The sequence below is a fragment of the Homo sapiens genome, chromosome 5 (genome assembly GCF_000001405.40).
Source record: "Homo sapiens chromosome 5, GRCh38.p14 Primary Assembly".
NCBI lineage: Eukaryota > Metazoa > Chordata > Mammalia > Primates > Hominidae > Homo > Homo sapiens.
The window spans coordinates 88537642-88553598 of record NC_000005.10 but is presented as its reverse complement, the minus strand read 5'-3'; the positions used below and the strand labels follow the sequence as shown (position 1 = coordinate 88553598).

The following is a 15957-nucleotide window of genomic DNA, read 5'->3' as shown; positions in this document are numbered from 1 at the left end:
GACCCTCAGCCCGAAATCCTGAAAGTATATGCTAGAGAAAAAGGAATTCTGAATTCAGTTGGTTGGAATGAGGAAGATCATTTTCAATCAAGCCAGTTTTTAATGACTTTATTGTTAACACCCTTAAAAATATGGCTGATACAATGACTTGCATGCACACAGTTATTTCGTCTTTTTAGTGACTGCATGAGAAATAGGTATTAATTGCTCTGCCATTTAAAATTCTCGATACAATTCACATTTACTCACTTTAAACTCAAGATGTCTCTCAATCAAATTATGGGGCTCTTTATATCTTCAATGTAATTAGGATTGTACAGTATTCATGACAAACATACTGAACAAGGAAGAGGATTCCTACTTGGTAATCATTGTAAATATGAAATTGTCAAGCTAGTCCTAATTAGTCACTGAGATAAAGATTATATGCAAGTCTCTAAGAGGTGCTACAGACTAAGAACAAAATTCAAAAATACCACAATTAGATTATTGTTTCAAATGCTTATGCTTAATAAAGTTGGTGGACCATGTTTGCCAAATAATTTTGTCAGGCAAGCGGTCATAGTTTAAAAGTAATTAAGCAATTCAGCCTCATCGTAAAATGGCACCTGCAAATGTCCATGCTTTTGTTGGTTTGGAAATGTGTAAGATGCTCAATAAAAAGTACTGCCTAAGAAAAAATTCAGTATATGATACTTTTTAAGCTTCAACAGGTAGAGAATCATTTTTAAACTTGCCTTTAAAAAACATTGTAGTGAAGCATTTGATTGTTTAACATTTTTATTATTCAAGTTCTTACCATTTCACACTACTCCCTGGAGAGGGGCCAAGAAAATATTAAAAATACTATAGAAATATAAAGGATAAGATATTTGTCACACTCATTTAAATTGATGTATGCTGCTGTCCTATAAACGTCACATCGGATAACCCTGAAAAATTACCATGAATCTCCATAATTACGCATATTCATGATGGTGTTTTGCATAGTGCTAACAGCAGACTGCATGTGAGGTGGGACGTGAAGGGGGGTGGAAGTGATGTGACAGATTAAAATTATTACCAATATCATTGAAATAGACATAGCAACAGTTCCATTTTGTTAGGTCTTAGAAAACAAAAGCATATCATAAAATCTCATAGTAATTAAATAACTAGAAATTTTTCTCCTACATATTTTACTATAAAAAGTTAACAGCAAAAAACTGACTAGAAATATCATTGTTACTTGAAATGTGCTTGCATTTATCATAGACTCCTAGGTACAGGGACACAGCAACTGAAAGGAGACAGAGCTTTTTAACTTTTTTGAGAGACAGGGGAGAAGGGAGGGTGATGGGGAATTTTTAAGCCTTCCAAAGTACACCTGTGCGACTTATATGGTTAGCAAGCTCCGATGAGCTGAGTGCAAATCACGTAGGTACATTTCTTCTAATAAGTATGAGGACTGAGTCATATTCAGTAAACTGTTAAAAGGCTCTAAGAGATAGAAAAGTTGTCTGGTGTCTATCTCAATAGCTTTTTTGTGCTGAGGCAGAGAGCAGAGTTAATCAGGGACTCTAGAAGTAATTATCGGCAGAGTTTGGGTAATACAAATGCTTGGGTAAACAGCGATTGTTCTTTCCACAAGATTGTGAGTAGAAACAACAATACTGGTATTGTCCTCCACTTCTCATTAAGGGGACTTGGGGAGGGAGCGCTGCACTGCGAGGCGCATGGGAAACTGACAGGCAAACTGTGCTGGGAACGACTCTCTCCTGATCCCACTACCACAAGCTCTGGCTTTTGGCATCAGGAGTGCCAGCTGCATCGGGAGAAGCCAAGCCTGTCATACCATCTTCACATCAAATCTTCAGGGTACAAGAGCTAGAGCATAGTTAGAGCTTAATGAAGAAACAAATACAAAAGGGAAGATTAGGCCTCGTGAACACTTGCATTCATTTGTTCTTATAGAAACTGCACTGGAAGGGTTGTTTTACAGAACTCATTCTTTTTCCTCTTAAGCAGAAAAGTTACATTGAGGATGCATTTTTTATATTGTAAATACACAGGGAAAAAAAAAATCTTTCAGTTCTCCTGCAACTATTAGCCAGCAAATTGTTTTGTCAAAAATGCCATTTGAAACAGTGATGTCCATGACAACAGTCAAAATTGGTAAATAAATACTTTTCTCTTTTTTATATTAATAATATTGTACTCGTCGCCACATAAAGCATTTCCTTGCATACTTAAGTGGTACTATTGCTTTCTTTCGAAAAATTGGGATGTGAAACTTTATCTATTGTTATGGGATAACAATCTCTTCTTTGGGGTGAAACATTTATGTTTCATGGCACCACATTACTTTTATCTTCAAATTAATTGCATTTGCAGAAAAGGAACCATATTTTTGAAGTTCGCTATAAACTACCCAGAAAGTTTGACAGCAGAATGCTACCATTATTTTTTATTGTTGTAAGCAATCAGTCAACTGTACAAAGGTGTATTGTGTACAGCTGCAATGTAAAACCTATTTTTGTTTATGCTATCTGTCAACCACTTAATATGCTAAGGTGCATTCTAAATGATATTATTCCAAAGGAAACAAGAACACTTTAATGGGATAATGTACTTTCTATTCTATACTTTGTGTGTGTAAGGCCTACCCAAGAAAGGTTCATAATGTATCTGTGGCTCTTAAACTTTAGCTCTATGTTGAAAGAAGACAGGCTAATTATGGTAGGCTATGAAGAGAGGAATGTACAACACCTGTACTGGGATTGAAATATATGATTTTTACAAATTCTCACTCAGTTTAGAGGTAAGCTCAGTGAGGAGATCCTTGCCTATGCTGGAATACATAGGAATATGGACAGCTAGGTTTTATTTCAGATAGAAACTTTCCAGAAATTTCTTCCTGTAGACATATGAAAAGATATATACCCAAGCATAATGTGGCCTAATTACTAAATGTAATACTTTTTTAATGAGAAAGGCACTGAAAATAAACTATACTACAGAAATAGCTGAAAGCCAAGTCGTTTTATATAAACTGCATTAACCCAAGGTAAATTTACACCTATAGTCACATTATGATGATGAAGAAAAACATTATAAACTAGGTTTTGTACTGTATAAGTAAAGCTTATCATTTCATACAAGGCAAGACTCCACATCTCAGATATAACTTCTGTATTATCCCTTAATTTTTAAGGGATATTACTTGAATTTACATTGGCCTAATATGAATGAGTCCTTCTTCTTTTTTTTTTCTTTATATAGCCTAAAGAAAACCAGTGTTTTCAGTATGATAGAAGTGAATCCCTTTTATTCTGTTGGTATCTGAAGATACCACCAAATCAGTGTTATATTCTAGAGTTCCACTGACTTTTTTGCTCTTTGTGGTTACAATGTTTGTGTGACATTATTTGGTCCATGGCATATACATATCCAAACAACAGTGGCCCTGAAATACTTAGAAGTATTTCATATTTCCTAGTCTACATTCTTCTCAGTACTCTGAAATCATGGATGTCACCATTTTGAGTACATGACTACATCTTAAAATATGGGGTCATGTCGTAGGGAGCTGACCTCATCACAAACACTTCTCAGATAATTTGTTACAATGAATTCATTGATTAATTATTTAAATGACACTTGGTATTTATAAGTGACAATTTCCATGCTTTTAGAACAAGAGCAGTTAAATACTGAATATTGCTATATTTATTTGTTAATTTTACTGGCAGTGTCCTCAGTAGTTTATAATTAAACATGACAGGTAGATTTGCATGGTGTCTCCAAATGTGCTTAGCTATACAATAGTATTAATATAACTTTGTGATAACAAGTAAAATGAAACTGCATTTTTCGTTCTGAACAACAGAACTCCTTTTTAGGATTTTATTAGTAATTACTTCAGCATTAATGTGACTACACTATAACATTCGTTTCTAAAACTGTCCAACCAATGTTAGTGAATGTCAATTATGTACTAGCAGGACAAAACATGAAGCTAGAATATTTACAAGAGAATCTTTACCTCTGGAATAACTTGTATCTTGAGTATAACACTGTAAAAATATACATGTTTATCTGGATCATTTTAAAACAACAGTATGATTGAGGAGAGTAAAATAAGTTCATATGAGAAGAAAAATTCCCAAAGCAAAATTTGATGAAAACATTAATTGTATTGGAACACATGTAAATATGACATATATTCTTCTGACAAAATGAATGCAAGTAAATTTTCTGTTTGAAAATATATTGCTGGATTGAATGTGCAGTTTAGGTGAGAGCAGATAGAGCTATGAATATTAATATCACATGCATTTAATTGACGGTACCTATTTTGGGTTATAGAATATTATTTTAAAAAACATTTATGTTTTATAAAGTTTAATGTTAATTTGTTCATATTTATAACTTCAGTGAATAAAAATAAAAATATACTTTTATTTAGATTAGGAAGTATTCACCCTGAATTTAATTAAATTTTCCTTTAAAATTATTTGATATTATGTAAAACATTAGCTACAATACAAAGAATGAACTTTTCTTTAAGTGTTGAAAAATTTTGTTAGGTAATGACAGAAAAATTTAAATGTGACTAAAAAAATTGAAAATCTAATAATATTGACTATTTGGGCACAGGATAAATTGCTTTTGAGTTGTTCTTTATTTTTTTGAGAGAGAAGACATTGTTGATCAGGGCTCTAAGGAGAATGAACTTGTTTCATTTCTCTCACCTACCCCGTGGTCTCTAGTAGTGTAGGACTGGTATATAGAGGGAAAGGGAACATATATAGGAATGGAACCATGGCTGGGCCAAGTAGCAACCCAGTGTCTGCTACAGCATCATAACCTCAAGCTTTGGTAAAATTAGAGGCACAATCCCACCAAGAATCATTCCTGGTCTTCACTATTATGGCAGTGATGAAAAGCATAGTTTTCTTGGAGGGAAAATTGACTGAAGGTGGAGGGTGTCAGAATTCTTTCAGTCTGAGCCCACGCTTATAGGTACTGGATCTGTGTATCTTTGCTTACTCTCTTTTCAGTAGGTGTCTACATACAGGTTAAAAAAATCTTTTCAGGCAATTTCTAGTTTGACTAACATTTTTACTCAGTATCGATACTACTACACATGTGGGATCCCTGAGAGGGCTGGCTATGGAATAAAGAGATCTGAAATAGAATTACAGCTTCTCCTTACATGGAGTTAATCACCTCATCTTATTGCATCTCAGATATTTCTTCCTTACACGGAGACTCTAAAGATTACATAAAATATCATATGACAAATTTGCTAGTACTGTGTCTGAAAAATGAGAGATTCCCCAGATTAGTGACTGTATCTAAATTTCAATGTGTAGATAGAGTCCAGGACAGATTAAGAGCTGAGTGGTTCTCTAAGAACTGTTGTTTTCCCTGAGAGGTGCATGGGGGCAGGCGCACAGAGCCCCTTCATCATCTGTGAAAAGTGACAAGGCCCTCTGTTGGGCTTCTGCTTGGTTCTGTGATCAAGGTTCCACATTTAGCCAAATCACGTGAAACTGGTTTGAGTCTTTCCTGATAGCTGCAACTTAGACAAGATTTGGAAAAACTAGGTGCTTAAAAACAGACAAAAAGAATGAAAGATAACACAGAAATCCATTCGTATTTTTTCTTTTTAACATAGAACCTTGCACGTAATAAACTAAATACATATTTGCTGAATGAATACACAAATAAATGAATACATAAATAAATTTAATATATAAGTCACTGAAATTTGAAAATAAGTAATTCTGAGTTCACCCCCACCCTTTTATTATTATTTTTTTACATAAAAAGTTTAAGGGATTTTAAGAGTGAAGGATACTCTGAAACGATAGATCAATATGAACATACAGGTTCATAAGTGTTGAAGAAGAACTACTTGGCATAGATCTTCATGGAATGTACCTTAAAGTACAAGAACAAACCCATATCAATACATGCTTCTTGCACAACTTTTTCCACCACAAATTCTATCATAGTCAGACATTTATTCATAGAATGATCTCTCATTTCTTAATTAACAAAAGCATTTATTCAGAATATTTTCTTAAAAGACATAGCCAGGTGTTTACTAAGTATACTCTTTAACTATTTCGTGAAGAAGAATGTATTTCCAGACATTACCACCTATGTTAGATTTAATCAAGATTGCTGAAGTAGGCCAACAAAAATGTGTAGCTGAGCTGTAGGCATTGTGTTGACCTGTTAACCTGAATTTCATTTCTGACTACTTTTGTATTTAAACTTAAATTCCATAACCCGTATATGCACAGGAGATTAATTGAGAATTACCATCCTACTTAAGAATAACTGTAACAGAAAAATAGTTGTTCATTCCAACCATCAACTTTTTCAAGATTTGGAGCTTGTCTCCTTGGAAGTTCTTCCATATAGCAGAGTGAAGAGGCCATTTAAAGTATGATACCAACAGGAGTTTGCAGAGATGCCACTTCATAATGAATGGTGGCATCTGTAGAGGTCTTTTATTCTCTGGTATTCATAAAAACTATGCCTCTATATACATTTTAAGTTCCAATATAAATATGAAAAGTTTCTAAATGATATTTTTCTAGTAAATATAATTCACATAAATCTCAGTGATTCAAAATAAAACTGGGTGATGCTAATTTTTTTTCTGGTATAAAACCTGTGGATTAGAAAAATTATAACATTATGGGGTCACCTTAAACTAAAAATAAACATATGAGGAAAATAATTTTTATAGCTGCCAACTGATGCTATCAGCCCTCTTATAAGTGATAATGCTTATGTAAAAAGTATACATTGAATGTTCAAATTTGCAAATGCATCTATAAAGATCAGAAAGAATTATCTTTGACTCTATTAATCAAAGGGTTTTCTATGAAACACAGACATAAAAATTCATGCAAGAAAATATTTTTATTTCACTATTTATTTTCCTCATTGCACTTTGATTTTAAGGCCTCAAAGAACCTCATTATAAGCTAAATTTAATTTTGTCTATTTTTTTCCCTAAGAAAGTTAATAATGTTAGGTCATTATTGGAATATCTGTTTTAGTGTTCACTAGGTTTTTTTTTGGTAGTTTAATAATCTTTTTAACATGATTTTCACATAATAATTATTTTAAATAAAATGTGGAATCATGGTAATATATCTTTATTTCTATAGTACCGCATAGTCTGATAAAATACACTTAGAGTAATTATTATACTAAATAAATAGTAAATTTTATGTCCAGTATTTTCTGGACAATAAGCATTTCTCTGAGTAGCATGTTTATATTTAAGAAACTTTCCTATGTTTTAAAATATGTGACCTTATCTTTTTAGAAATGTATGGAAAAATCTTTGCCAGCATTCAGCTATTTCAATTAAAAAGCACAGATATACGCTTCAAACATTTTTTTCTCCTCTGTATGTTTTAAAGGACTTATAAGAACAAATGTAATCAGATAGTTAACTATTTATTATATAAGAACTTGAGATAACCACTGAGAAACAAGAGGATGGTAGTGTCCAACTTTTATTTACTTCAAAAAATAATATATCACACAATAGTTTTTATTAATGATTAGGACTCACAGATGTGTTAGTTAAATGAAGCGTCTATATCATACCTCATATCAATCCACAATGACATTATAATAACAAATTTGCATTTATAAATTTCATAATTGTGAAATTATTATTTTTCTTTATATTGCTCATTTTTAAGAAAATGTTACATTTTTCTTAGAATGAATTGTAATCAGCTTACAGTGTTATAATTTTAATAACATTTTAACACCAAAACAATTCTTCCTACAATACCTGCATGCCAATATTCAGTATTCCTGCTCTTTTCTGCATGACCATAGTTAGATGTTTCTCATCAACAAAATTCTTTTCTCTTTTTACTATATCTCTCTTTCTCTCTCTGCTTTTCTCTATCTTCCTTTTCTTTTCTGTTTTCTTATTTCCCCCCTCCACCCAATTCCCTTCTTTCCCTGCCCTCAGTTCTTCACTGCAGAGTACATTGAACATATTAAGAACATTCAGTTGTGGTTGGGCTTCTAACCTTGCTCAACTCCAGCATTAGCAAAGGGATTCAGTTTCCTGAATTCATTAATAGTGTTTTGCCACAAAAGGCTTTGCAGTTCTCTCCTGAATATTGAGCCTAGCTTAATAACATTCCATTTATGTTAAAGACACATTTAATCTGTAAATGTGACCTTTAGAAGAATTCTCTTGTTTTTCATTAAAGAAACACTGCATTACAAATATTAATTATTCCTTGATGCCATATTTTAATTAACTAATCATGTGCTATTTGCAGCAATAAAGAGTGTAGTAATGTATGTGCAGTAATGTTATGCAATGCAAGATCGATATCAAAGAATTCAGTGCTGCAGAAAAGACATGTTTTGGGTATCTTCTTTGGATGAGTTTGCTTACATAAAACATTAAGTCTAGAATGATGCCTTGTTTTGCTTTGTGTTTTGTATTTTTAAATGCCAATGCAAGTCTGATTAAAATGCTGAACATATCTTTAGCCCCATCACTAATAAGTGAACGTTCACTGATGCATATTAGCAGGGTCTAGCAATGTGGTGAAATTGTCACTTAAGTGCTTGGAATCTGAACACAGAAAATGACAGGCAATGCCGAAGGTCCGGCTCCAGTGCATGTCTTCACTGTAGCTGGAGTCACTGGAATGGTGAAACCAGTTTAGGTTCAAGGTCACTGCTGACATTCAGCTGTCATGGCTTCATTGTCTGCAGGCCTTCTCTCCATTGACACATTCAAGAGTACTTTATAGCAACCACAAAGAGCCAGTCAATTGATACCATTACACTTCATGCACACACAAACCACAAGCCTGTTCAAGACTGTTGATACAGTCTAACATTTATTCATTAAAGGATCTATTGAAAATGCAACTTGCTCAGCCCCACTCTTAACAACATAGACTTACTTGTTTAGTCCAAACATTTAGCTACGTCTTTTTCAAGTTTTGCACAGCATTCTCTAATTGAGGTAACATTATCTGCATTTTAATGCTACACCATTTATGTCCAATGAAAGATTACCTGAAGAACCCAGCCATTACCATACTAGTTTAAATACGGGCAGTCGTATAGAAAAAATATACACAAAAGATGTAAGCGGGGGGAAAAAGGAGATATTTATTTGTTCTGGGAGTGCCACGGAAATCCAATTGCTCAGAAATGAAATAAGAGTCTGAAGTGAAAGGAGGGAAAACCTAAGCTTGGGTCAGGGAAGAGGCAGTGATTAGCTCCATTGTTAGGAGCTCTTTGAGCTTCGTTGGTTGTAAAGAAAAACCCACTAATGAATCTATTGAAGCTTGCCAGAACTTTGTGTGGAAGACAACTTAAGTTATGATGCTTATCTAAAAAAATGGTAGTAAAGTATGTGGATATATAAAACACAGCACATATGTCTCTTTATTAACAGCTTGCCCATAAAAACAAAAAAAAGTTTAAAGATACTGTGTTGCACAAATGACTGATTTAACATGCATATGTTTAATTCAGTATTTACAGGTCTTGAAAAAAATCACCTAACTGATGATAAGATATAAGAAAGTATGTCCTATGATAGTTTAAATACGGGGAAACAGGCAGAAATAGAATACAGCTAATCTCTTCTTGGTTTTCTACCAGTAGTTGCAAAGAAAGATGGGTTTAAAAGTCAAGTCAGAAGGCTTTTTCATATTTTGCATATTTTAAGTACGCTGAAAGCATTTCATTAAGAAATGTAATCAACTGACATTAAAAGTAACAGACTTTGGATAAAAGGACCAATATGACTGTGTACTGTATGTGGTAAAAAATGTTCATCATGCTTCCATTCTATGTAGCGTTTCCAACATAGAGTTGAGTCTTTTTCTGCAGGCTGATACAATATTTAATTACATTAGCTATGTAATTCTGTAAAATACATTTCACTGTCTAAAATAAGGTTATCATTAATGTAAGAATTCAATTAAGTGGCTGTATACTAGAAAAAATAATTTTGACCAATCACCTGGTCAAGATCATTGCTAGTAGCTGGAAAATATATGCTATATAATAAGTAGAGGTAGAACACATTCTGAATGTTTGCCCTGAGTTGAGTTTTGCCAAATACTTTCAAGTGTAAGATTGGTGAAGCAAAGTTCAATCACCAAATAAGAAGAGGTCAACCCCCACTATCACACTTATCCATGGTTCCATGACTGTTTCACAAGAATAAGCTTATTACTTGGGAAACATGATTCTCTACCTCTGAGGACTTGTCTTTAATAAATAAATGAGTGTTATGTCAGTGAATTCACTCATTTTTTCATGACCAAGTAAGCGTTATTCCTCCAAAGCATACTATTTTGGGGCATCAGGACTAACTGCTAAGCAGAATTCTTTTTTTTTATAATGTCAAAGTTCTCTTTACTTTTGACATACCAGATTTCCAACTAAGCCCCTGGGAGACTTTTTGTGGAGATTATTGTGTAGTTATGAAAATGTCTCTTTAGACTCATGTCTACATAAGGGAAGATACTGTTGCCACAATATGAGCAACCTTTCTTCAGGTCTTCATTAGTTTTCTTCAGTGATCAGGCTAGCATGAGCAAAGGCTAACCACAACAAAATAAAAACTAGTTATGTGGTCATAGTTTTTGTCAGGTCTAAACCATCTGGAATCCATTATAGTAAGGTTTGTTACTAAGAATGTCTCTTTTTCTAAGAGATTTTATGTCAGGAGATTTGACTCAATTTTGACCAACAGAGAAATTTGAGGATGAGAATTGCAAGAGGTATATGAAAATATTGAGAAGGTAAAGGAAATTAATATTTAAAGGATACATTCCAGTTATTGTGTCTGGCACTTTACCTATGTTGTTTTTCCTCTGCAACAACCCTATATATTTTGAAATTATTATTACTCCATTCTACTGATGGGCAAAGAGAAGCTTCTGGATCTTTAAATTTTTACCTGAGGCCATAAAGCAAGTAAATGGTAATGCTGCAAGTTAAACCAAATACCATATTCTCCTAAAGCCTATACTGTCCTGAATACCTGTTTCAGCCAAAGGACTTAAAAGACCTTGGTAAAATTTAGCTAACATTGTTGATGCCATTTATGATGAATAGTACCTTCTCTCTCTTTCACCTTTATATTGCCTCACTTCAAATTCACTCCCTGGAATGAGCTTCCATTTTGCCTTTCTTTCTCTTCCTCTTTCCTTTGCTCCTAGAGAACATTGAAGATCTATCATCTTCCATATCAAACTTCTCCCATATCAGACATTTTCACATCAGTTTAATAAAAGTAGCTCCACTAATGAGTAACAGTGATCTACCAATTCACAATTGTTTCTTCTGTATTTTTTTTCCTCAGGGAGTATGAATATAAATCTGTCAGTCCAAAATTCAGGGTCTCTCTAAATGTTCTGTAAAATCCTTATGATATGTTATATAATCTGTCAAGCTTTCTTCCAAAACTCTTTTATATCTTTTCATTAATTTAACAATTTTTTTTCTAGGAAATTGCTTTGGAGATGAGGAAACAAACTCTTATGGTAAGTTACCCTGTATTTCTACTGGAGATTCCAGATGAAGAGATATATGCTAAGTTTTATAGCCTGTACCATACAGGCCTTCTGCACATGTGCTGTGTGTGTGTGTGTGTGTGTGTGTGTGTGTGTGTCCATGTGTGTATAAACTTCCAGGTGTACCCTCCAGACTAACAGCTCACCATCCTCTGTTTGCATGACTTTTGCATGGAGAAATTTTTGGTATGCTTCTGATATATTTCTTCAAGAAAAATAAAAGACTGTTTAAGTGCATATTATCAGTTAAATAGCTTGGTCAATTTTTGGAGTATTCACTCATTTGAATGGCAAAGAAATTATCCCCTCTGAAAAGTAGAAAGGATATAGTGCTTTTGTCACAGACACATTTACAGTCTCTCATAATGCAATTTTTCTTTGTCCAGCTGTATTTTCAGGAACCATTTAAAATGAGGACTTTAAAAAATGCCTTACTAAAAATGTCACCAAATAATATTCATATAATAACAGAAGGAGAGAGATGACCAAGGCAAACAAATGACTTCCCTTCTGAAACTTTGCTGAAACTAGATATAGATTTCTCCTTTTAATGATGTAATTTGGATAAAAATATTTTGCAAGTATATTAAATTTTATAAGATAAAATTATTGCAGGGAAATTCTCTCCATGTTATAATTTTTATTTTTTTTACTATTCTGTACTATTACACAGTTAAAGCAAATATTATGTGGCAGGGTTGGTTAAAAAGATATTTAATACAAATAGCTAACAGAAAGATAATAAACTCTTTTAGGAAAGTGAAATATGCTTTTAAGATATGCTTTCAGTTAATTTATAATCTAGAAGGGGGCTTATTTGACGATTGTACCCTATAATTAGTGAGATCAGTAATCAAGACAACTGTGATTTATTTTACCAGGAGACCTAAGAGACTGAAGACATCTGGCGTGGACTACTCTGATGGTAAAATTGAAAGTACACCTAAATTTGCTTTGTTACAGGATTCTCTTCAGAGGACAAGAGAAGATGTTACATTCTCTGCATGAGGACAATTCTGCAGCATCAAAATCGAATAATATTTGTTTTCTGGCAGCAGAATTTTGTATCATATTTCTAAAGACAGTAAGCACTTGGGTGGACGTCAATGAATACTAAACACTAATTGATCTGATACAGCCGTATGCACATACACAGATATACATGGTGGCTTGTAATGGTTGAAAAATTACGGTTTGGTTTTATTAAAAGATCTGTCACTTTTAGGTCAGAGTGGGATTTTGGAGGGATAGTCTCCCACAATAGAAAACTACCCTGACAACAGTGGTGTTTTGAGGTTGTTTGTTGTTTGGCTTCTTGATGATGCTTAGCTAAGGAGACACTTCCTTTCAGATTCTGTCTTCCAAACCCCAGGGCTCTGTTCTGGGCAGTTCAGCCTAATGGAATTAAGCCTGACATGTTTCAACTCTATTTCTTGATAAAATAAACATAAAACAATGGTTTAGATTTCGAATAAAACTCTTGAAGCATGGGGTACTCTAACTTTCCCTGTTCTTTACACATCTGTAAATAAAGTGCATAAAAGAGGAACACAACAGGATAAATCAACATAAATTTGAAATCCACTGCAGCATATTAAATGGCGCAGTCTCAGTCAAAGAGAGGCTGACCCCGCGGCTTCGTGCAGTTTGAAGCTAATTGTTTTCGTCAGGATGGGAACGTCTGGAAGTCCATGGCTGTATCCCACCAGTAAGGCTCCAGTAACTGAGCCGGCCCACAGAGAATGGGCCCACTTTGTAGCGACACAGCGGGCTCAGACACCACCTATTCTGCTCTCCAAACTGTCATGCATAACAACTTTATTGTGCTAAATTGAACTTGAAAGCAACCAAAGGCTATGAGAAGGAGAGGCTATGAGAAAAGCGTGCTGTCAGCGCCGGCAAAGGCTGACCTGGAAAGTAGGCTCAGAGACAGGGGAATAAAAGACCAGGCCCCATGAACACAGCATATTGTTTCATTTTAAAGTATGATTCCCATACCAGAGAAAGTAGCAAATGTGATGTAAATTTATTTAAATAGATTCGACCGCTTAAAAGTTTGCCAGCCGCTCTTATCCAACTTTCCCAGCTCTCTGATTCGTTACTTACAGTGGGAATATAATGACATATAGTCATCATTGTAACAGCTTCTTTGCAGGGGCACAATGATGATTAATAGCCAGCAGCAAATTTTCACATGGGCTCTGAAGCACTATGGCATTAAGCAGCCAAACAGTCCCAAATCCCCCTTTTCTGTTCCGCTGAAAAGTCCCCTCCTTGTACCTTCCAGATAGGAACAAAGCCTATCTTAATTCCAATCAGCTTTTCGTCATTCAAAGGGACCTTCTCTTTTTCATAATTGATTCATGTGCATTTTTTAGTGTTCCACTGAGCTGAAGCCACTTTTCTCCTTTCCTCTGTTCTGTCCCCACACCCACACCCCCTTTTTTTGAGGGGGTGAGGAGTGGGAAACATTTCAACAACAACAACAACAGTAAAAAATGGTGTGGTAGTTTCCCCCGCAAATATTTGCTAAATAGATTTCTCAATTAGTATTAGCTTTACACTTAAAAGTCTTAAAACAAAAATTAACTCCTGGACTTCTTTTTTGTTGGAAGTGGTTTTGGTTATAAAAATATGAGCTTACTGAAATAGCTCTGGTGGCAGCCCCACAATCATGTTCTGTTTCACTGGGAGAGTTTGAGTAGCTTTCCTTCCCACCAGAGACTCACAGCTGGAGTGAGGATGGAGTCTCTTGCTTCAGACAGATTCTTTTTCCTCCTCTGTGCTGGTAGCCATCAAAAAAAGAACAAGTGACCAAAATGAAAGGCGGCAAATGCACACCTCCTAACCCACTCTGTCCTTCTTAAGTATCATTTTTCCCCATAGTAATCGTACATTATAATTATTAGCAGAAGCTCCTGTGCTATTTGTGGAAGTGCTCTCTCTCGTCTATAGTTTTCACCTCCTGTGATAACGACACAAACGACATCAACCAGTGCTGTCTTGGAAAAAGATTTCCATCCGCAAATTCATTTGTGTTTCTATGACAATATGATGGCCATAGAGCACAGTTTTAGTAGATATACTTTGCATATTTGTTTACATTCCTTACAAATCTGACCTCATTTTTCTATATGAGTAGGGTGACCACACACCCCTGTTTTCTCAGGACTAGCTGTATTTATGCCTATTGTCCTTACATAATTATTAACAGTACTTCCTTTCACCCTCAAAAGTATCCTGATTTGAACAATTTGAAAAACTCATGACGTTTTGCCATTAAAATGGCCCCAAATGACTTACACAAACCCAAAGGGTGGGCTGTCTCCTACCCAGGTGGCTGGGGACTGCTTTATACCATCCCAGTTTAGGGGAAAGAATCAAACTTGGAAACCCTGCTGCCGATGTAGCAGCACCGACTTTTGTCTCGCCCACTTTGAAGAGGTCAGTTGACCCTATACAGCTTCTTTGATATGTGACAGAAAGGAGGTCATTTGCTGAAATGAAAGACACATTACAAACCAGATTTTAAGTGTGACTCTTTCCTTCAGCTGGGTCACAGTTCTTACTTTGAGCCAGAGCAACACACTTTACTGGTCAGATAAAAATACTCTGCCATATTTTAGAATAATGACCTTTCTTATGCTTTGGTGTCTCCAAATGGTTAAATGGAGAATATATCCAATTGACAGGAGGAATTCTGTTCATCATTTTTACTCTTGTGTTTATATCTTCTCATAAAAAAAAAACATGTGAAAATGGCATCATGTATCTCTATTGTATTTTTCATTCAAAAATCTCAAACAGGTGAGTGTAATCCAGTCTTTAGGTTATAGGACCAAAGACTCTCAAAGACTGTTACAAACCCCCGGACAGTGTCCCTAAGGGCTGGACTTTGCATGTGGATTACCGAGTTAACTGAGAGATGTGTAATATCATCTGTAGTCAGAAAACTCCCTACTCCCTATATGGAGCAACCAAGGACATTCACATGTGTTGCTTACTCTTGAAAGTATATGGGATAAATGGGCTCCTGATATGCTAGTTTCAGAATAACTATGGCAGGACCTTAAAATTTCCCACTTTCCATAAGATCATAGCTCATATTCAATTACTGGCAGGATAAACATGTAAGATTATTAACTCTGCCTTACTAGTTCTTTTAGAGGAGCATAGCCCCTTGATGAAGGCATTGTTCTAAGCCAAATCTGGACCTATCCAATCTTTATTCATGCATTTTATCCGCTTTCTTAGATCATTCTTTCAGAAATGAAATGAGTGAGGTACATGAAATATATTTTCTGATGCACTCTTTTTAAAATAAAATACTTTTTATGGTTGTGCATTTATTTGTGAAGTGAAT

General features: G+C 34.6%; 1 long non-coding RNA gene across 5 annotated transcripts in view; it reads left to right on the top strand.

The window, feature by feature from the left end:
• The window catches only part of MIR9-2HG (MIR9-2 host gene), a 152776-nt gene extending 137443 nt beyond the window's left edge, over positions 1-15333 (top strand). For 4 of the 5 annotated variants that reach the window (NR_152235.1, NR_015436.2, NR_152239.1 and 1 more), the window contains 2 exons: positions 11529-11564; positions 12476-15333. This is a non-coding gene — a long non-coding RNA (MIR9-2 host gene). The remainder of the gene's footprint in view (positions 1-11528; positions 11565-12475) is intronic. The other variant, NR_152238.1, reaches the window with a different exon arrangement.
• Positions 15334-15957: the final 624 nt, after the last annotated feature.